Source organism: Homo sapiens, chromosome 7 (genome assembly GCF_000001405.40).
Source record: "Homo sapiens chromosome 7, GRCh38.p14 Primary Assembly".
Lineage (NCBI taxonomy): Eukaryota > Metazoa > Chordata > Mammalia > Primates > Hominidae > Homo > Homo sapiens.
In genome coordinates this window covers 148,147,015-148,169,447 of record NC_000007.14, presented here as the reverse complement: position 1 = coordinate 148,169,447, position 22,433 = coordinate 148,147,015, and the positions used below count along the sequence as shown (strand labels likewise).

The 22,433-nt window shown below is 42.6% G+C and overlaps 1 protein-coding gene across 1 annotated transcript in view; it reads right to left on the bottom strand.

Annotated features, from left to right (window-relative positions):
- The window catches only part of CNTNAP2 (contactin associated protein 2), a 2,304,198-nt gene that overhangs the window by 251,551 nt on the left and 2,030,214 nt on the right, over positions 1-22,433 (bottom strand). Inside the window, exon 17 of the mRNA NM_014141.6 lies at positions 21,739-21,957. Coding sequence (NP_054860.1) covers positions 21,739-21,957 — 219 coding nt within the window. The remainder of the gene's footprint in view (positions 1-21,738; positions 21,958-22,433) is intronic.

Here is a 22,433-nt window from a genome sequence, read left to right as displayed (position 1 = left end):
AATCATACTTTTAAGTCTAATTGCTAGGATGAAGGGCATATACATTTTAAAGGCACTTTAAATATGTTTTCTTCTAAGAAGAATTTACCAACTTCTAATTCACCAGTAGGGTATGAGATTTTCATCTTCTCCACACAATTCTAATATTGGTCAGTGCCTTTTTGTATTCATGCCAGTCTGCTCGACGGGGGCAAAAAGGATTCACTGTTTAAATCTGCATCACCTCAAATACTGTGAGCTGAGTAATTTTAATGTTTTCCCTTTTCTTATTTTTTGTTTCTTTGTGTTCTTCGCTTTTTGCTGGGAATACAAGAGAATATATTTCTTATTGATTAATAACAATATGAGCTTTAACTCTTGGTTATAAATAACTCTTTATTGCAGCTGTATCTTTCCAGTTTGTGTCTTTTGACTTCTCTATGGTGTTTCTTTTTCCCGATGAAAGTTTTGCATGTTTTTGTAGTCACATCCACCTGTCTTATTTGTGTGATTCCTGCCTTTGGTCAGAGGCTTATAAAGACCTTCTACAATACAAAATAATATGATTATTCAACCATATTTTCTTCTAACATGTTTGTGATTTTGCTTCTCTCCACATGTTAACCTTTTGTCTATCTGGGATGTATTTTAATTTGGAAACAATTGGTATTTCATGGATCTTCAGCAATGATTGAGAGTTTGAAAAGACTCTGAATGTTAACATGATGAAGAATGGAGATATTTTTCTTTTTTTAAATTATACTTTAAGTTTTAGGGTACATGTGCACAACGTGCAGGTTAGTTACATATGTATACATGTGCCTTGTTGGTGTGCTGCACCCATTAACTTGTCATTTAACATTAGGTATATCTCCTAATGCTATCCCTCCCCCCTCCCCCCACCCCACAACAGGCCCCGGTGTGTGATGTTCCCCTTCCTGTGTCCATGTGTTCTCATTGTTCAATTCCCACCTATGAGTGAGAACATGCGGTGTTTGGTTTTTCGTCCTTGCAACAGTTTGCTGAGAATGATGGTTTCCAGCTTCATCCATGTCCCTAGAAAGGACAGGAAATCATCATTTTTTATGGCTGCGTAGTATTCCATGGTGTATATGTGCCACATTTTCTTAATCCAGTCTATCATTGTTGGACATTTGGCTTGGTTCCAAGTCTTTGCTATTGTGAATAGTGCTGCAATAAACATACGTGTGCATGTGTCTTTATAGCAGCATGATTTATAATCCTTTGGGTATATACCCAGTAATGGGATGGCTGGGTCAAATGGTATTTCTAGTTCTAGATCCCTGAGGAATCGCCACACTGACTTCCACAATGGTTGAACTAGTTTACAGTCCCACCAACAGTGTAAAAGTGTTCCTATTTCTCCACATCCTCTCCAGCACCTGTTGTTTCCTGACTTTTTAATGATTGAGAATGGAGATATTTTTCAAAGGGTCAATTGGCAGAGCAAATAAATCTAGAGTAAATCATATTTTTATTATATCATTAAGGCAGATATTTAGATCTATTCATGGATACTTAATTATTTATATATACAGGGTTCATTTCAGAAAGGATTTAGTGGGGCGGAGTTTTCTCCCTCTGCTTCTGTCTTGATTCTTGGGTCTTTGGACTTCTTAGGTTCTACATGGATCCATCTCTCTTCCTGCACTTGTGTTTGTGGATCTTTCCTTCTCAGGATCATCAACTATTTCTACTCAGTTGTGTGGCTTTCATCAAATTACATAGTCTCTCTCAGCGTCGGTTTCCCCATCCACAGATAAAGGAGGCTGAACTAGATGGTGTCTGTGACTCCTTCCAGCTCTGAATTACTCTGGCTCACGGTTCACAGGCTCTCCCTCTGGGCCTGTGTCTTTTTTTCTGAATTTCAGTAAACACTCTCAAATTCTATTAAATCTCTTCCTTGCTTGCTTTTTCTTTCTTTGCACCGATGTCTGACTTTTTTTTTTCTCCCTCTTTTAACTGGGTGTAACATATGACTGTAGTCTAGTTTGTATTTGTTGTGTTCATTAAGTAAAGTTTTGCTCACTCCTGTAATCCCAGCACTTTGGGAGGCCAAGGCGGGCAGATCATCTGAGGTCAGGAGTTTGAGACCAGCCTGGCCAGCATGGTGAAATCCCTTCTCTACTGAAAATACAAAATTAGCCAGGCGTGGTGGCATGCACCTGTAATCCCAGCTGCTTGGGAGGCTGAGGCAGAAGAATGGCATGAACCTGGGAGGCAGAGGTTGCAGTGAGCCGAGATCATGCCATTGCACTCCAGCCTGGGCAAAAAAGAAAGAAACTCTGTCTCTAAATAAATAAATAAATAAAAAGTTTTGTCCTCCCTCTTCATAATTTATAAAGCAGGTGAGTGAAATGCCATTTCTCGCTCTATAAAGGAAAACTAAATAAATTAGGCTCTTTTCTTGCTTAGGTAGTCCCTGATTTATTTAAATGGGACAGTGAGCTAGAAGGTACTTTTCCTGATCTAGTCAATATGAAGAAAAATCTTCTGTCCTGAAAACGGTCATTATATATTATGTAAAAGACATTAATGCACTAGAATCAGTGAAAATTATTTGAGTTCCACTTCTGCGCTCTGTAGAAATCTTTCTTGGTGACAAACGTCATAAGTTTAAATTATAGGTCTTCAAGCAAAAACGCTACTTAACCTTTGTTAATTAGAAAATCAACACATTGTCATTGTAGAGAGCCCCCTGCCATGCAAGGGCTTCACGCACATTAGTCAGACCTGTGATAATTATCCAAGGTGAGATGTGGGTTTAATTTGTAAATCATTTTTTCTTGTGAAATGCTTTGCAAGTATTGCAATTAAAGATTAATTATGAAAATGCTGGAACTACCCATAATGAATAATACAACTGTAAAATGCACAGAAGACTGGGACAAAATAATCGGCTATTAAATTAAACAAAAAGGGCAAAAACAATGATCAAGAGGAATTATAAAAAAAAAAACACTGTCCTCAAATTCAGAACTTAATAAAGAGCTAAGTTGGGTTCCTGAGTACTTTTGCCCAAAGAGACTGGCCACTAATTCACCATAGAAGGAATCACACTAAAGCCCACACACATAAAATCTAATTTATTCATTCAAAAAATATTTATTTCACGCCTACTATGAGCCAGGCCTTGTTTTAGATGTTTTGTTTGTCTGCTTCATAGTATTGAAGCAAAACACACAAAAGTCTCTGTTCTTGTAGAGCTTATATTCTTGCAGGCAGAAAGAGAAATTTAACAACAAACTCAATAAGAAAATAAAATATACTGTGTGTTAGAAGGTGGTAGCCACTATGGAGAAAAAAGTCAAGCAGGGTTAGCTGGGATCCAGAGTTGGAGTGGGGTGGGGGAGGCTGCAATTTCAAGTAGGGTGGTTAGGATAGGCCCCACTGAGGAAGTGACAGAAAGGGGATCATGAGCTCGTCCATGGAGAGAGGGCTTCAGGAAAAAGGTAAGGGGGTACCATCCTGCAAGTAGGGGAGGCCTGTTGGAAGGGAAGGAGGCATGAGATGAGAGCGGTTGCAGGATGCTCAGAAGAGCAAAGCTGTTGCATGATCAGTTCATGAGTGAAAGGCGTCAGGAAAGCCATTTGTAAAATGATGATGAGGACGTGCTTCTTGCCTGCAGGTTAATCCCAAGGTGATCACAAATAGCTGCACGATGATGCCAGGCACAATTTGATGTATGGGAGGCAGCAAGCAGGGATGAAGAAAGCATGAACTGTGGTCACAAAGATCTACTTCTATGTGTTGGCTTCGCCGCTCATGGCATGTGAGCTTCCCAGGTCCTATTTGGGCCTCAGTCTCCTTATGTGTGGCATTGGCATAACAATATGCACCGCGTAGGAGTGTGTTAATAACAGATAATGCACTTCTTTGCACTAATTCTAGTTACTGGTAGCTGTTACGATTATTGCTATTATTGAGTATAGGCACATTCTATAGAAGCACATAGTTGGAATAAATTAAATATGGCTGAGATGATGTGTATATAAATCTGATACTAGAGGTATCAGGAGTGCTATGGACTGAACTGTGTCCCCTCAAAATTTGTCTGTTGAATCCCTAACCTCCAATGTGACTGCATTTGAAGATGGGACCTTTAAAGAAGTACTTAACATTAAATGAGGCCATAAAGGTGAGACCTAATCCAATAGAACTGGTGTTCTTGTAAGAAGAGGGACAGACACTGGGGATGCTCTTGCACAGAGAAAAGATCAAGTGAAGACACGGCAAGAAGACAGCAGTCTGAAAACCAAGAAGAGAAGCCTCAGAAGAAAGCAACCCTACGGACACACTGATCTTGGACTTCCAGCTTTTAGAACTGTGAGAATGTTTATTGTTTAAGCCACCAGACTATGGTATTCTGTTAGGGCAGCCCAAGCAGACCAAGACAATGAGGAAGGGTTATCAGGCTCGGGCTGATCTAGACCTCCCTGAGAAAGTGACCTTGGGGTCCCTCTTCTCACTGCACTGTTTCCATGGAAAGTACAGAGTTAGAGCCAGGTATGGTGGCTCATGCCTGTAATCCCACCAGTTTGGGAGACCGAGGCAGGTGGATCACCTGAGGTCAGGAGTTTGAGACCAGCCTGGCCAACATGGTGAAACCCTGTCTGTACTAAAAAAAAAATAAAAAATAAAAAATAAAAAAATACAAAAATTAGCCAGATGTGGTGGCATCTGCCTGTAGTCCCAGCTACTCAGGAGGCTGAGGCAGGAGAATGACTTGAACCCAGGAGGTGGAGCTTGCAATGAGCCAAGACTGTGCCCCTGCACTCCAGCCTGGGTGACAGAGTGAAACTCCGTCTCAAAAAAAAAAAAAAAAAAAAAAAAAAAGAGAGAGAAAAGAAAGCACAGAGTTAGGATGGGTGTCGTTGCTATCTTATCATTCGTGGAGGGCTGTGTCTGGACTGGAGAGCTGTGAATTAGCATAGAGGTCTTGAGCCCGCCACTGGAATGGTGTGAGTGACTGGTGGGAAAAAGAGCTAGGACTCCTCTGTGTCTAGGTGACCCACCCTGACCTTGGCTCTCTGGCATGGCAGCCACAGCTGCCCTGGCTAGGTCAGGGGGCAAAAGCAGCTATGTGTTTGGGCAGGCTGGGCCTTCCCAAGTTGCAATTCTGTACCTGCTATTTCTCCTGTTCTATATGCTACCATTGTTTCTTAGGTCTGAAGCATCAACTTGAACCCGTTAAAAAAAAACCTGTGGTGGGCTGGGTGTGGTGGCTTATGCCTACAATCCCAGCACTTTGGGAGGCCGAGGCAGGCAGACAGATCACTGAGGTCAGGAGTTCGAGACCAGCCTGGCCAACATGGTGAAACCCCATTTCTACTAAAAATACAAAAATTAGCCAGGTGTGGTGGTGCCCACCTGTAATCCCAGCTTGTTGGGAGGCTGTGGCAGGAGAATCACTTGAACCTGGGAGGCAGAGGCTACAGTGAGCCGAGATTGTGCCACGGCACTCCAGCCTGGGCAACAGAACAAGACTGTGTCTCAAAAAAACAAAACAAAACAAAACAAAATACCTGTGGTGTCAGTGCAGGTGTGTAAAATATAAACCCAGTTATCTGGTTGAACTGAGAACAGCAGAATGGCCAAGAGTCTTCAGTGGTGTAGAGAGTTAAAGGAAATTGCTCCATATTCTTTAGTGCAGAGCTGCATGATTGACAAGTATTGATCAGTAGTTTCTCTGTCAGCTAGATATTGGAGGGCAAGTATGAAAAAAGCTTTCACATACTGAGAGAACTGGGGTTTGGAAAATTGCTTTTTCAGATGACACTCATGAGTGCTCATTCATAACTCCATCAATAGGATGGATTTTTTTCAGTTCATTATTATTGCATGGATTTTCTTGTGTCCTCAGAGTAAAGGACATGCAGAACATGTGAATCCAAACTATTAAACTAGAAGAAAGCTTCAAAATAGAGACTGAAGGGACACTGGGTTTCCATAGTATAAAGCACTCCTATGTGTCCAAATGTGAAATGTTATGCAATGGGGGTGGAGCTAAGTGGTCTGATTCATTGTAGAGGCTATGGTGGCAGGATAAGCATGGTAAACTATTGGTTATTTCAAAAGCTAATATTAATTAAATACTAGAAGTATCAGGCACTATTCCAGAACTTTACTCTCAGAGCTAGATATTATTATCTCCATTTTACAGACGAGTGAACTGAGAATAAGAGAGTTAATTCATTTGCTGTCATATAGCCAGTAAGTAGCCAGAACTCACACCCAGGCTGGATAGCTTTTAAGCCTGCACTCTTACTATGCTCTGGCCACCGTTTGATTTTTGGGCTTACATCATATAAGGCACTTTCTTCTCCTACGTCTGATATGCTTCTAGACATTGTTGTACTTAGGTATACAAAATGCTGATAGAGTGATTAATACCTGAGGCAAGACATTTACCACCTGCCAGAACATTGTCTTATATTTATTTATTTTTTTTGGCACAGTTTTGCTCTTTGGCTCAGGCCGAGTGCAGTGACGCAATCATGGTTCACTGCAGCCTTGACCTCCTGAGCTCAAGCAATCCTCCTGTCTCAGCCTCCTGAGTAGCTGGGGTTACAGGCACATGTCACCATGCCTGGTTAATTAAAAAAATTTTTTTTTGTAGAGACAAGGTCTTGCTATGTTGCTCAGGCTGATCTTGAACTACTGGATGGAAGGGCTCCTCCTGCCTTGGCCTCCAAAAGTGTTAGGATCACAGGTGTGAGCCCCTGCACCTGGGCAGACCATTGTCTCTAAAGCTACAAGGATGGCTGAAGCTGAAAGGGGAAATGCAATACTCACAGAGCCAGGAATGTCAATGTCCAAATTAATCTCTAAGCCAACAAAGAGAAGACACTTTTTTGATGCTGTCATTAAGATCATATTTATTTCTTAGTGCAAAAGCTCAGTACTACAGTTTTGAAACCAAGGCAGTTATGGGCTTTGGCCACTGCTAAAATGGTGGATGATGGATACTTTCCCTAAGCTCAGTCTGACAGCACTGATTTCAGAAGCCATTGCTTTACTGTGGGACCTACAGTTCCAAGTTGCATCTGAAAGTGGGGATATTTTCTAGTTGGATCCAAATTTCAAAATTATTAACAGCTATTTTAGTAAACTTTAATAAACCCAGATGTCAAATATATCAGCCTAGAACTCTTGTCTAAATACATTTTTGCAAATATCTTTAGGTTATTGTTCATATTAAGTGTCCTGCTGGTGAGTTTTGTCATCTTTGAAGTAAAATAAGCATCCTCTTTCTGCTGATCTTCATGTATCTCCCCCTCCCCCTCTCCTGCTTCCATCTGTCTTTTAAAGTCTCTATTTAAACATTTGTATCTAGTCTTTTTTTAAATCCGGAGTCAAGAATCCCTGGTGTTATTATCCAAGCTGGCACCCTGTTCTCTTCACTCTCAGACTTCACATACAAGCCTTTGCGGATGCTAGTCCCAGGTCAAGCCTGGGATGGATCCGTGAGGGATTAGTGTAGCTCTGATGACCAAGCCTCATGGGTATGTCAGCCATCCAAGCAAAGGGGTGGAGGAAAAAGAAGAGAAGCTTGGGGATTGAGGAAAAGGGAAAAGGGAGGCGAGTTGGCAGAGAGGCTGAGAAAACAGAAGACTGGAGTGTTTTGATGTCAAGATTTCAAGGAGGGCACAGTGACAATTGTTAAATAAGAGCAAGAAGTCAAGGAAAATCAGACAACAGTAACAGGCTATTGGATTTGGTTATTTTTGAGACAGACACTTCAATATAGCAATAAGATGCTTATTAGTGGAGGAACGGGTAGTGAGAGGCTAGATTTAGTGGTATAGATACACCACTGGTTTAAGAATCAATGACAGTGGAAGATGGCTGTCCCCTGTCTAGGTGGGAGTGAGGTACTCTGAAGTTGTGTGTGTGTATGGGAGGTGGGTGAGGGACATGGACTGGAAACAAGAAAGGGTTGAGAGGGATGACAATGCCAGAGGTTTGTCCTGAGGCAGGAGTTTTTCTTTGCCCCCTCAACTTTCCAGGAGGAGCTCAATGCAGGCCCTGAACTTTTGTTTTTCATTGTAGGAAGACAATAACAAAGGTGGCATTTGGAAATCTCAAGGGAATATGCTTGAACTCAGAAGGCGAAATGACAGGACCTCTGAGGACAGCAAGCACTGCGAAATAAGGGCAAGAAGCAGCGCTGAAGACACAGAACCAATGACAGCAGAAAACTGTAGGATTTGCATAAAAGACACCTGCGTTATGGTGCCGACATGAAGCGGCAGCAAAATTAGCAGAATCCCACCTTCCTGATATTGGAGACACAGGACAATGACAAACTATAAGAATAAGAATTAGTTGGAGATATTGAAGTGAAAAATCTATAACTGTCAAAATAAAGATATCCTTGGAGGGGCTGAATGGCAGAACGGATAAAGCTGATGAACATTTTCGTGGGTTGGGATATTGGGTCAAGAAACCTTCCATGAAGACAATAGGAATGAATAAAGAGATTAGAAGAATAAAACAAAAGTCAAGAATTACGGAGGGTAGAAGTGTCAACATCTGCACAATAGTAGCTTCATAAGAAAAGAATAAACACAGGCAAGAAACTATCTGAAGAAATATCTGGTATTTCCAGAACAAACAATATTAGAGTTCAAATGGAAGGCACTCATGAAGTGTTTAAACAGGGTAGGTAAGAAAAACAACAACAACCACCACCAAAACCAAAAAACAACACCTTCATCAATAGCTGTGGATCTGAACCAGAGACCCCCAGCCCCAGGGATCCTTCCGATCCATGTACAGGAGTCACAAGTCTTGAGAACATAGATGGAAAAAATATTGCATCTTTATTTTCACTGCCAAGTCAAAATTATAGGAGTAATTGGTCCAAATGGATTTTTAAAAGGTTCAGCAATATGAAATCTAAGAGGAACATTTAAACAAAAGGATACAAACACCTGTACAAAAAATACCAGGTTATAACAGGAATATTAGCAACAACAAGAAGGCTAGCATAGTAGTTTGTTCATTTATTATCTTTTTTCTTTTTTTTTTTTTTAGAGTTAGGGTCTCGCTCTGTCCCCAGGCTGTAGTACAGTAGTGTGATCACGGCTCACTGCAGCTATGACCTCCTGGGTTCAAGCCATCCTTCTGCCTCAGCTCCAGGGTAGCTGAGACTATAGGCGCACATCATTATGCCTGGCTAGTGTAGTCATTTTCTCTTTCTTTTGAGACAGGGTCTTACTCTGTTACCCAGGCTGGAATGCAGTGACACAATTACGGCTCACTGCAGCCTAGACCTCCTGGGCTCAGGCGATCCTCTCACCTCAGCTTCCCAAGTAGCTGATATTACAGGTGTGTGCCACCACATCCAGCCAATTTTTGTATTTTTTGGTAGAGATGGGGTTTCACCATGTTGCCCGGGCTGGTCCTGAACTCCTGGGCACAAGAGATTTGCCTACCTCAGCCTTCCAAAGTGCTGGGATTACAGGCGTGAGCCACCGCGCCCAGCAGTGTGGTAGTTTTAAGAGCAGAGACAAAACTGTGAGATTTAAAAAAAAATGTCATAAGGAACAAAGATGGAAATTATATACTGGTACAAGGAACAATAAATCAAGAAGATCATGAACACATCTAACTAGCAAAATAGACTTCAATTACCCGAAGCTACCACTGATAGAACTATTGATAGAAATTCAGTAAATAAAGTTTAAAATTTATACTCAGAAACTGATAGGTCAAGCAGTGCTTAGTGAAATTAGGTACACACATACTCTATGACTCAGTAATTCTGGGGACACACAGAGGCACACACACACACAAGACGTCCTCACACAGGTGGCAGAGAATGCACATAAATATATTCCCTGGAGGGTTATTCGTGGTGGCAGAGTTGCAGAAAACCTAGGTATTCATCATTAGGGGATAGAATAAATGATGCGTGGTAAATACACATAATGGAGCACTATGCACATAGTATTCAGAGAACTACTCAAATAGATCTTAACAATGTAAGGCAGAGGGAAGAGAGTAAGAAACAGAATGGGATCTGTAGTACAATGCCACCCATATAAAGCATGGCACACAAGAGACAACACGAATTTCCACAATGATATGTATACTTTGAACAAATATATAGAGGGTGGGACTAGAAGACCATCCATAAAATACGTTTCAGTGGGTGTCGGCGATGGCGAGAGGGTGAAGCTGGCAATGGTGAAGAAAAAACGTAATAAAATGAAATTAAAATGAAAGAGGAACATTGTCAGGATGTGACAATAGGACCATGAAAGGAAGAGAGACCCACGCAATATCCTGCACATCAGGGGGCCTTGAAAACACGAAGGAGCAGAAACCAAACTGTGAGATAAAAACATGAGAGGGAAGCGTCTGATGGGAAACGACCCTGTTTATCTGAATGCGGAATACTAAAAGTGGGCCTCTTTTTTCTCACGCTCATAGTGTACTGTGGGAGGAACTATGGGGCTGCGAGGATCTATCCCTTCTTCAATATTTGTGTCATTGATACTAATTTATTTTATTACAATCTTTTTCTGTGGGACAGTTGCCATTTATTATCATGAAGTTTAGTTCAGTCCTTATCGGAAAGATAAAAAATCTGTATAAGAAATTATTTATTTGTTGAAAAACATTTTTCCATATTGATTGCAAAAGTGGTACCGTTACATTAAAATGTCTTCTCTGCATCAGACCATTCCAATTGCCATGAGGATGTTGGAAGAAAGACCAGAGTTCCTGAAGCATTTGGTCTTGTGACACATGAGAAGGTGAACCTTTAGTTTCTTAGGTTCAGAATGTTCACCGTAAAGTTTCTACCCATATAATATAGTTAACAGATTATCTTTTAGTTAGTTGGGAGCTCAAAAGACATTAAAAGTACACTGTTGATTTGATTATTTGGGAGCACATTTTAAAAAAAGCAAAAATTGTCCAGGCTTGGTGGCTCATGCCTCTAATCCTAGCACCTTGGGAAGCTGAGGCCAGCGGATCATGAGCTCGAGAGATCGAGGCCATCCTGGCCAACATGGTGAAATCCTATCTCTACTAAAAATACAAAAATTAGCTGGGTGTGGTGACGTGTGCCTGTAGTCCCAGCTACCTGGGAGGCCAAGGCAGGAGAATTGCTTGAACCCGGGAGGCGGAGGTTGCAGTGAGCCGAGATTGTGCCACTGCACTTCAGCCTGGTAACAGAGGGAGACTCTGTCTCAAAAAAAAAAAAAAAAAAAGCGCAAACATTGTACCTATCATCACTCACTTCCTATGGTAATGCTCTGACTGAAAGGTAGCTGGAATTGCAAAAGTCAATTAGTTTTGATCCCTAAAGGGCAAAGGGCAGAAAACATACATGGCAACTGTAAGTGGGAAGGGGCTATCCTTTGCCCTTTGTGGGGGTCGTAGGTGGAGATGGTTCTATTGAGAAGATAGCAGCCGACTGAGCGTGGTGGCCCAGCAGGTTCAGAAAAGAATAGAGGGCTGGTAACCCTTGTAGTGAACAACTGTGAAGGAGAAGGCATTTCTTGGAGGAGCTTCTATATTTTATTTGCATTTTTGCTTTGCATATGGTCGATTGATTTCAATGTAGTAATTTTTTTTGCTAGATTTTGTCCAGCAAATTAATTTACTCTTTAATGTATGGCAATGGTTTCTAATTACGACATCACTCCCTATTTCTATCCCAGAGAGAACCAAGAACTAGTTACAAAGGTTGGGGTAGAAACTCTGCATTAGGATTGCAGCCAGCATCACAGCTACCGCCAAACAGGCAAGACCCCAATTTGATATCAGGAAGACTGAAAACTATGCTCAGGCTCTAGACTGATTTGAAATGCTGTCTTCCATAATATGCTGACTTTCTCTGTGACTTTTTTTTTTTTTTTGCTGCTTCTGCTTCTGTCATGCTTGATTTCAGTCTGTGGTTCCCAGTAAAAAGATATTTCCCAAGATGGTAAATATCATCACATTTTGAGAAAAGAATTCTGGAGAAAGTTTATAAGGAAAAACCCTTCTTGCTTTGGAAAGGAGATGATCTAATTTTGAATATGGATATTAACCCAGAAAAATCACAATCACTTATTTATTCATCCAGATGTTTGCTCAGCAAATATTTATTGGGTAACCATTGACCAGTTGTTATTGGACCCTATCCTCCGTCTATGCTGTATGTAGCTTACGTTCTAGGGGGAGGACACATAAATAAACGTATTCATTTATTTCTGAATAATAATAATTTTCTGGGGTTTCAACACCCTCTAGAGGTTTCCCATTGGTTACTTGGTATATGCCCTATGTAAATGAAGAAGACGAAGTCAAGTGACAAAGTCATTTACTCAGTATGCACCCTATGTAAATGGCAAGGATGTTACTCAGTGTGTGGCATAAGTAAATGGAGAGGATGAAGTGAAGCTACACAGCCGTTCACCTTCCTGTCATTGCTGAAGCGTTCCCATTTGATTTAGTTCCAAGAAGTCAGCATGAATCTGCCTATCTTCCCTGCCTCCAGACCCTATTCTCCTGCCTCAGCTGCATTTGAGGGACAGTCTGGAGGTAGACTCACAGGGCTTACTATTGGATAGGAAGTGATGAGGGAAAGAGAAGAAAGAAAGGGAAGAAGGAAATCAAGGGTAACTCCAAATTTAGGGTGGATGGGTGGATTAGATGGTGATGCCACCTACTGAGATGGGGAGGGCTTTTGGAGGAACAAATTTCCAGGAGGCATCAAGAGTTGTTTCCCATCATGTTTATTCTAAGATGCCCATTTAATATCTAAGTTGAAACACAAAGTAGAAAGTAGGATAAGTGGATCTAGAGTTCCTGAGAGAAGAGAGGCCTGGAGATTTAAATTTGAGAGACATTGGCACAAATTATTATCAGAAGCCATTGGATGGTGGGCTGAATGAGATCATCCAAGACAATATTCGGATGAGAAGACAGGAAGGCTCTGTGACACTGCAATGCTTAGTGGTCAAGCGGAGGAAGGAGGGAATGCAGGAGAGACTAAGTGATGGCCAGCTTGGTAGGAAAAATAAGCAGGACAGCACACGGCTGTGGAATCTGTGGGAAGAAAGTATTTCAGGAAAGAGCGCAGGAGACATGCTGCTGAGAGAGTCTGCAAAGCCCCGAAGAATGTGTCTGAGACTTAGAGATCCATGCTGACTTTGACGACTTTATAAAAGCTTTACCAAAGGAACTCAAAACAAAACAAAACAAAAACAAAACATTATTTCCATGTCATAGAGACTGTCAAGTAAGAAGTCTCATTCCCTGAGAAGAGTGCTTTTGCATTAACTTCTCGTTAAACCAAACCCTTTGCGTTTGACAGTGGCCCTCTGCAGGCCTAGATCTTTGCCATGGCGACTTTATAATCTGCATAATACCAGCCAGGGCTGCCTGATGTCCAGCCTCACCACTGCCTGTCAACTTCAGTCTCTCCCATAGACTCCATAACTGGGAGAGTGCTCCACAAGGGGCCGGTATTGCACGTGGGGCCTGCAAATCTTCCTTGGGATGGATTCTCCTGCACGTTGTGGGAAGCTGTGGGAGCACCCAGTGTCACCGCACCTTTCCACATACCCTCTGGGCCACAGGGTCATCTCAGTCAGGGGACGCTGGTATAGACTGACCAAGAGGGCCTGAACTTTGCCTTCAGCTTGACTAAACTTTACATAGGACCCCTCCATTCCACCCTAGACCCCTGACCTCACTTTTTAAGAGCACTTACTTTAGAAAATTTGTTATTGTTAATTCTTTCTCTGCCCTTTTGAGATATAAATTTTTTAAAAAGCTGTTTGCCAGTTTTACAACCCAGGAATGGCTTTTTCAAAAACTTGGGAGTCATCTCTTTGAAATGGTAATTGTCAAGGAAAATAGCACCCTGTCTCCCCTCCACGGGAGGGTGGGAGCCTAACTCCAAGTTGTGAAAGTTTACTTTTCCTTTGGGTAGAGCCAATCAGCAAACACAGACACCCTATGATCCCTCCTATCCCAGCTTGTAAAAACTTTCCCATTGTATTTTAGTGAAATAAAAAAAACCAAAAAATCAAAATAAAGAAACAAAATTCTCCTGCCCTTAGCTGAAGTGGAGGCGAGCTCGACTGCATTCTGGCTTCTCTACCCTGTCGCAACAGCCCTGAATGAAGATCTTCCTTGCCTGTTCAACTTTGCCCAGTGCAATTTTTGCTTTGACAAGAGGAATGATTAAAGCGCTGAGTCTTTGGAGTCAGACTGTCTGGAACCAAATCCCATCTCTGTCTCTTCCTAAATGCACGACCTTCGGTAAGTCAACTAATCTTTAATGTGAGAATAAAACAAGAATTAGCAATGTTATCTATGTTATAGACTCGTGTGGACTCATTGAGGGGAAGCATGGGAAGCACTTGGCCCTGGGGTTCACCGGGGTGTCTCAGTCAGCATTCACGTGGTTGCTTTTGAGGCAGGTTTGCAGGAAACAGGGGCAGGCACACATTCTCTAGGTTATAATTCCTGCAATTTGAGATGTACATTTTTTTTTTTTTTGAGATGTGGTCTCACTCTGTCACCCAGGCTGGAGTGTAGTGGCACAATCTTGGCTCACTGTGACCTCTGCCCACTGGGTTCAAGCTATTCTCCTGCCTCAGCTTCCCAAGTAGCTGGGATTACAGGCACCCACCAGCATGCCTGAGTAATTTTTGTATCTTTAGTAAAGACAGAAATTCACCATGTTGGTCAGACTGGTCTCGAACTCCTGACCTCAGATGATCTGCCCGCCTTAGCATTCCAAAGTGCTGAAATTACAGGCGTGAGCCACCATGCCCGGCCTGAGTTGTACATCTTTTATTATCAATTTCTTAGATATGAGAAACAGCCATTTTATTCATACATAGATTTGGGTGAATTTCATTATTAGAATTCTATTTTTCTCCTTCACACACAAATGCGATTTTCTCTTTGGTCTCTCAATGATACTGCATTTCAGATGGCACTGGAATGATCCATTTGCAATTTTGGAATACAGAGAGTATGAGAAGCAGCTGACCAAACAAGCTGTATTTTAGAATTTGGGGAGGTTGGACTCAGAGAATGGTTATAACATTTCAGTCTGTAGTTGCTTATACGTCCATTTAATAAACCTCAACTCTTCCATAAACTCAGGTTGCCACCCAGGAGAAAAAAGTCTCCTGATAGACAAACTGTCAGAGGAAGAAGAGGCTGCGGGCTTCCCCACTCTCAGGTAGTCTCTGAGTCCTCCTGAAGACAGCGTGCCTTCCACTGAGTCTCAGTCAGGCTTTCTGCCCAACGCAAAAGAGCTTGAAGCACTGAGGGTGATTTTTCAACTCCTTTTTGGACTGCACAAAAGAGATGGTTCCCTTTAACCTCTAGAGAGATATCAGAAGAGGCCAGAGCCAAGTAAATTGAGCACGGACATTTGTCATGAGTTAAGATGACCTAGCCTCTGTCAAGGAGCCACTTAGGAGCTTGACTTCTTCCTGAAGCTGTCTGAAATGGCCTCCAGATCTTGTAACTCTGATCTCCTCCCTTAATGACTGCCAAGAGCAGTTGCATGCTCTGGCTAGTGTCTAGCTTGCTGCATGCTAACCCTGTCCTAGCTCCCTGACCTGAACAGCCTGCTTGGCTCCCCGCAGTGGTGTTTGCTTGCCAGCTCCTGGCCATGCCCTGGGCTGGCAGCCAGCCTCCCAGGCTGGGGGCCCAGCAGATATCTTGCCTTCTCCCACTCCTGCCGCTGCTATCAGCTGTCAGGGCTCCAAACTCCTTGTATGTCTCTGCCAAAGCTGGCTTTGCTCAATCCAGCCTGGCATTGTTCATGCTTAGACAATGACCATGAGCTTGTTTGCTTTCTCCACCGCCTAAGAAAAATCTGGCCCACGGACAGCCCAGGTCCGAACACCTGGGCTGGCTGAGGCTTCAGATCAACATGTGGCTTAAGTGCTTCTGCTGGGCCATCCAGGGAGCTCGTCATATGCTGGACACTCATTTTGGATCAAAAAATGGGAAAAGTTTCCTGCACTTTTCAGACAAATACCAGCAAGTGCTTTTTTTCTTTCTGTGTCTCTTAGTTTTTAAATGTATTTGTTACTTTTTGATTAAACCAGAATAATCTCTGGATTCTTACAACTTCCAAAAGACCTGTGTTAACCCTTTTGGGATGACAGCTTCTAATTATATTTTAGATGTGCAGTGAGGTGAACTGTGTCTTCTCTGTTTTTTTTTTTTTCGGTTACTTTGCAAAAGGACATGTGAGCCTGGCCTCGCTAATGACACCACCTTTGCAAAGATCACACAGCAAGAAAAGTCTAGCATGGCTGACTCCGTCCTGCTTCTAGCCTCACAGCCTGGCTGTCCCTGCTCCTTCCTGGGCATAGGTCAGGCTAAACTAACCATGGGAGGTATTTGGTTTAGAGTTTAGCTTTTTTTTTTTTTTTTTTTTTTTTTTTGAGACGGAGTCTTGCTCAGTCACCCAGGCTGGAGTGCAGTGGCGCGATCTCGGCTCACTGCAAGCTCCGCCTCCCGGGTTCATGCCATTCTTCTGCCTCAGCCTCCCGAGTAGCTGGGACTACAGGCGCCTGCCACTACACCTGGCTAATTTTTTTGTATTTTTAGTAGAGACGGGGTTTCACCGTGCTAGCCAGGATGGTCTCGATCTCCTGACTTCGTGATCCCCCCATCTCGGCCTCCCAAAGTGCTGGGATTACAGGCGTGAGCCGCCGTGCCCAGCTAGAGTTTAGCTTTAAAGCAAGGATGATAATTGTCCCTCCTTAAAACTGGTTCCCTCCTGGCTGGAAGATTGAAACTGCCTTTGTAAAACCAATGAAAGGCCATGAGATTAGAATTATGGGAGAGGCCTGAACTCTGTTAAAATGTAGGTGTAGTTTCTAGAATCCCTTAATGCTCAGGAGTCATGTGGCCGGAGGTCACAAGATTTGTGGCTTCCTCAGTTGCTTTTATAGATAACATCACTATTGTAGAACTTAAGATTGGTCTTTTGAGATTTTTTTTTCAGATTTTTGCATTCTGGAAACCACCTGCCTCCATCCAGACTTGGGACGCAGAACTCAACCAGTTCTGTGGCTGTCACCCTGAGGCAGACTCAGCACATGAGGACAATTTTCCACACCCCTATGATTCCATCTCCAACCAATCAGCAACACCCATTCCCTAGCCCCCTGCCCACCAAATTGTCCTTAAAAACCCTAGCCTCTGAGTCCTCAGAGAGGCTGATTTGAGTAATAACTCCAGTCCTTCTGCTTGGCTGTCCTTGTGTTAATTAAACGCTTTATTTACTGCAATAACATTGTCTCAGTGAATTTGGTTTACCTGTGTAGCGGGCAAGAAAAACCCTTCAGGCAATTACATTAACACAGGTTAGTGGGTGGAAGGTGGCCTTCTGTAGAGCTCTGTGTGCAAAGCCAAGAACTATTTGCAGTCTGTTTCAGCTTTAATTTGTATGAAAGCCCTTCCTTCCGGAACCTAGGTGGAGCTCTTGGGCCATTCTGTCACATATCTTAGCTGTTGCAGGGATGCTGGTGTGATGTTTTCAGATGAACTTCTGATTTCTTGGCTGACTGTGAAAAAATCCTTGGGCCTTAGTTTGCTGCTCTGTGGCCTCTGCAGGTAAGCTGAGGACTAGCAGAATAATTCTGAATATTGAGGGACATCTCTGCATGTGAGCTTTCCTGTAGGGTTGGTGAGTGGAAGTGATCACATTTCAAGTCAATATTTCAAGAAAGAAGTAATGAGCCCATTGAAAGAGGCTTCTTTAAGAGAAGGGTAACTATTACATGGAGGAAGAAGAAAATAAAGGGAATAAAAGGTAAAGGATAGTAAAGGAAAAAGAAACTCACATTTAATGAGAATGGACCTGCTGGGCATAGTGGCTCATGCCTGTAATCCCAGCACTTTGAGAGGCTGAGGCGGGCAGATCACTTGAGGTCAGGGGTCTGAGACCAGCCTGGCCAACATGGTGAAACCCTTTCTGTACAAAATTAGCCAGTCACGGTGGCACATGCCTGTAATCCCAGCTACACAGGAGGCCGAGAGAGGAGAATCACTTGAACCTGGGAGGCAGAGGTTGCAGTGAGCTGAGATCACGCCACTTTACTCCAGCCTGGATGACAGAGAAAGACCCTGTCTCAAATACTACTACTACTACTATTATTAATAATAATGATAATAATTATGGGCCCTAGGCGAGGCACTCTCCTGAGTGCTTAGCATGGAATATCTCATTTAATACTGTGGTGTAGGAGCTGTATTCCTAATTAACACAGAAATATTAAGCAATTTGTCAGTGGTTTCTCAATTGGCAAGAGGCAGAGGTGGTAGTCAAAGACCATATTGTTAACCACACACCATTGTGAGAAGACTGACCACTTGGCAACCCTGGTATTGTTCAATCATTACCAAGCATGTAATAAAAAATGTCTAATATTGGAAGAGGCCAGGCATGGTGGCTCATGCCTGTAATTCCGGCCCTTTGGGAGGCTGAGGTGGAAGGATCACTTGATCCCAGGAGTTTGAGATCAGCCTGGGCAACATAGGGAGACCTCATGCCAGGCATGGTGGCATGAGCCTATAGTCCCAGCGACTTGGGGACTGAGGTGGGAGGATCCCTTGAGCCTGGGAGGTTGAGGCTGCAGTAAGCCACGATCATGCCACTGTACTCCAGCCTGGGCAACAGAACAAGACTCCATGTAAAACAAACAAACAAACAAACAAAACATAGAAATAGAAGATACTCAGAGAGGGAAGATGGTAATAGTTGGTCAAGAAAATGCTTTTATATTAGAGGTGAACTGAGACTAACACCTAAGTCCCTAAATTCTAACTGAATAGTTTGGAGATAAGTGGCTCCAGAAATTCATAGCTGTTGAACTAGGTGTTAGTTTTAGAGTCTTGTTTTTTTTTTCTGAGACAGAGTCTCACTCTATCTCCCACGCTGGAGTACAGTGGCGCGATCTCGGCTCACTGCAAGCTCTGCCTCCCGGGTTCACACCATTCTCCTGCCTCAGCCTCCTGAGTAGCTGGGACTACAGGCACCCACCACCATGCCTGGCTAATTTTTTGTATTTTTAGTAGAGATGGGGTTTCACCGTGTTAGCCAGGATGGTCAGGATCTCCTGACCTCGTGATCCGCCTGCCTCAGCCTCCCAAAGTGCTGGGATTACGGGCGTGAGCCACTGCGCCCAGCCCTAATTTTTGTATTTTTAAATAGAGACAGGGTTTCACTATGTTGGCCAGGATGGTCTTGAACTCCTGAACTCATGATCCGCCTGCCTCGGCCTCCCAAATTGCTGGGATTATAGGCGTGAGCCACCGTGGCCGTCCTTTTTTTTTTTTTTTTTTTTTTTTTTTTGTAACAACCCCTCTCACTTCACCTGAGGTAGACTTCTATTGCCGAACAATATTTCACAAATTGGCTAAAGTAGCTCATATCTGAGAGATGTGCCTTGTGCCTCCCTTTAAGGTGACAGGAATTAGAAACTGGGACTAGAGACTATTTTCTAGTCAAAAGAAATTGCTGACTCATCACGTCAGCCTCCTGTTCTGAAATTTCTGTTTCTGCGGTCATCAATGGTTTTACAATTGCTAAATTAAAACAACACAGGCCAGGAGTGGTGGCTCATGCCTGTAATCCCAGCATTTTGGGAGGCTGAGGTGGGTGGATCACCTGAGGTCAGGAGTTTGAGACCAGCCTGGCCAACATGGTGAAACCCCTTCTCTACTAAAAATACAAAAATTTGCTGGGCATACTGGCATGCACCTGTAGTCCCAGCTGCTCAGGAGGCTGAGGCAGGAGAATCACCTGAACCCAGGAGGTGGAGGTTGCAGTGAGTCGTGAGTTGAGAACACACCATTGCACTCCAGCCTGGCCACAGGATGAGACTCCATCTCAAAACACACACACACGCACATTTCTAGCCTTATTTTACTCATGGTGCTTGATATTATTTGCCATTACCTTTTTAATCAAATCCTCCTCCTCTTGTGACATTACTCTCTCCTAATTTTCCTTATTTCTATTCCTCTTCATTCTTCCTGAGATATTCTTTTTCTGTTTATCCCTTATATTCCATGGTTCTGTAGAATTCTGATCTCAGGCCCTTGCTCTTTTCTTAAGTTATTATTGGGTCACCTTCTTTAAGTGAATTGATGTTCCTTCCAAGACCATAATAAATACTCTTCCATCTCTTCATTTTACAACCTTACTAGGTCTTCAAAATTCTTACACACAGCCACAGTTAGCCAACAGAAAGGAACAAAACTAAAGTTGGACTTCTATATCCAGGGGCAGGGTCAAAAAAACGAGAAGTTGAGTCAAGTAGGGTCACCTGTTATGATGAAAACCAGATAGAATCTACCCAGCATGTTCAGAATTAACAGTATTTAGGAAGAAACTTGTCCTAGCTAATCTGGGCCACACATGTTGATGAAGTGAAATTTCTTCACTGTGCTCAGCAGGGATCAATGGACCTGATATTTAGCTAATTAAAAAATAATGTGTAATTTTGTGATCTATAACTTGAGGGAAGGATTTGGAAAGGGCTGATTTCCAGTTGTAATTAGGAAATACTTTATTTCTAAATCTATAACTCTTTTATAGCCCCAGCTGATGTGGTTGTTAAAAGTCAGTCTCACTTTCAAAGCTCATTGACCCACACCTTTGTTTTGTAGTTGGCCGACATCACACAAAATGAATGGAGATCTAATTTTACCTTTCCTTTAATGACATTCTACCGCTCTTCAAGCTTCCCAACACAACTATGAAAGACACTGTGGGGACTCTGCCCCTTGTTAAAATTAACTGGCTCTCAGTGAGGCTGTAACGTAGGGTGGAGCCCAAGTGGCAGGTGTTATGAATATGAACAGCAACCAAGTCACATTCTTATCTTGCTTTGTCTGAGACTTCCACAGTTGACTGCACTGATCAATTGACCCCCTAGAGAGGGGTCTAAGATGATGCATCCACAAAGTCCTTCAAACTCACTTCTTTATTTCATTCAACAGAGGAAAAGTTGCTAATTTCCTAACATATGAATATTCTCAAAAACAAAATTTAAAATTCAACTAGCCATGGGAAGCAGGTATGAATTTGAAGTAATTTTAGGTTCATCTGAAATATGTCAGTAGCAGAAAGACAGGTGAAAAAGATTAGACTGGGTGTCTGGATCCACTTCTTGCATAGGTAGTTTAACTTTTTGATCTGTTTAAATTTCTTTTTTGTACTGATCTTTTTTCCTATGTCAGGAAAAGTCTAAATCTTTCTCTGCCTAGAACCTTGAGAATAGGCAAGAAAGGAATGGCTTTATATTTATCATTTCAAAAAAATCTGAACTTAGCCCATTTCCTCCCTCCCTCCCTCCCTCTCTCCCTTCCTTCCTTCCTTCCTTCCTTTCCTTCCACACAGTTACAAGTGCCCCAAATGATCAAATAACTTTATACACTTCTAAAACCATAAACCTAAAATTGCAGATATTAGAGAGACCTGAGAGATGTCTCAGCCTGCACTCTGATTTTATAGCTGAGGACAGTGAGCTCCCAAGAGTGGAAGTGGAACGAGATCTAGGTCTCCTGAAACTTCTTCCTTATTCCATTCTGTCTTGAAGGAGACTACAAGAGGCCAACACCTTTACTTTTGGAAGGATCTCTATATCAAACCTTGCATAGGCTGATTTTTTTTTTTTTTTGTATTGTGCAGGCTCTTAAAAATCAACAGAGGGAAGCCATGGTTACCTTTCCATTACTTACCCACAAATAACTGGCTGTAGAGCTCCAGGCGGGTGTGGCCTTCTGTTGGGGCCTTGCGGATCTGCTGCGGTAGCCGGTCCACCTGTAGGCTGGCCTGCTTGACATTCCTCTCTGCAGTGACCCGGTGCCACTGGTCATCGTTGAGAGGGGTTGGTGACCTCACTACAATCTCTACTGGCCCATTTCCCACATCAAATGAAAAGGACACTTCTGTGGCAGCTGGAGGAGCAGAAAGCATGAAAAACATGAGTATTTTTCTCCCAGATACCAAATAGCAGTAAATTCTAGACGACAAACAAAGCAGGGAGAGGAAAAATCATCTAAGCCTGTCACGTCCTACAAAGGTCGATGGCAAAATCAATGGAAGAAGGATAAAATGTCAATCATTAACCATTAATAACCAAGGGTGTTTTGGGGGGTCTATGTGTCAGGTATATATTTATTTCCTTATTTAATTTTAGAAGCCTTCCAAGATGTGACCATCATTGACCCTCTCCAGATAAGGAGACTGAAGTCTGGAGAAGTTAGCGCATGTTGAGTGTCTTAGATTCAGTAAGTTAGTGGAGTCACGAACTGAACCAAGGTTTGTCAGATTTCAGAGCCTGATATCTTCTAATTCCACATACAATTTACCTTTTCAGTAAGTAGCTCCTTGGGAAGTGATTCATAGTCACCTGGAGATCTCTTGAAACACC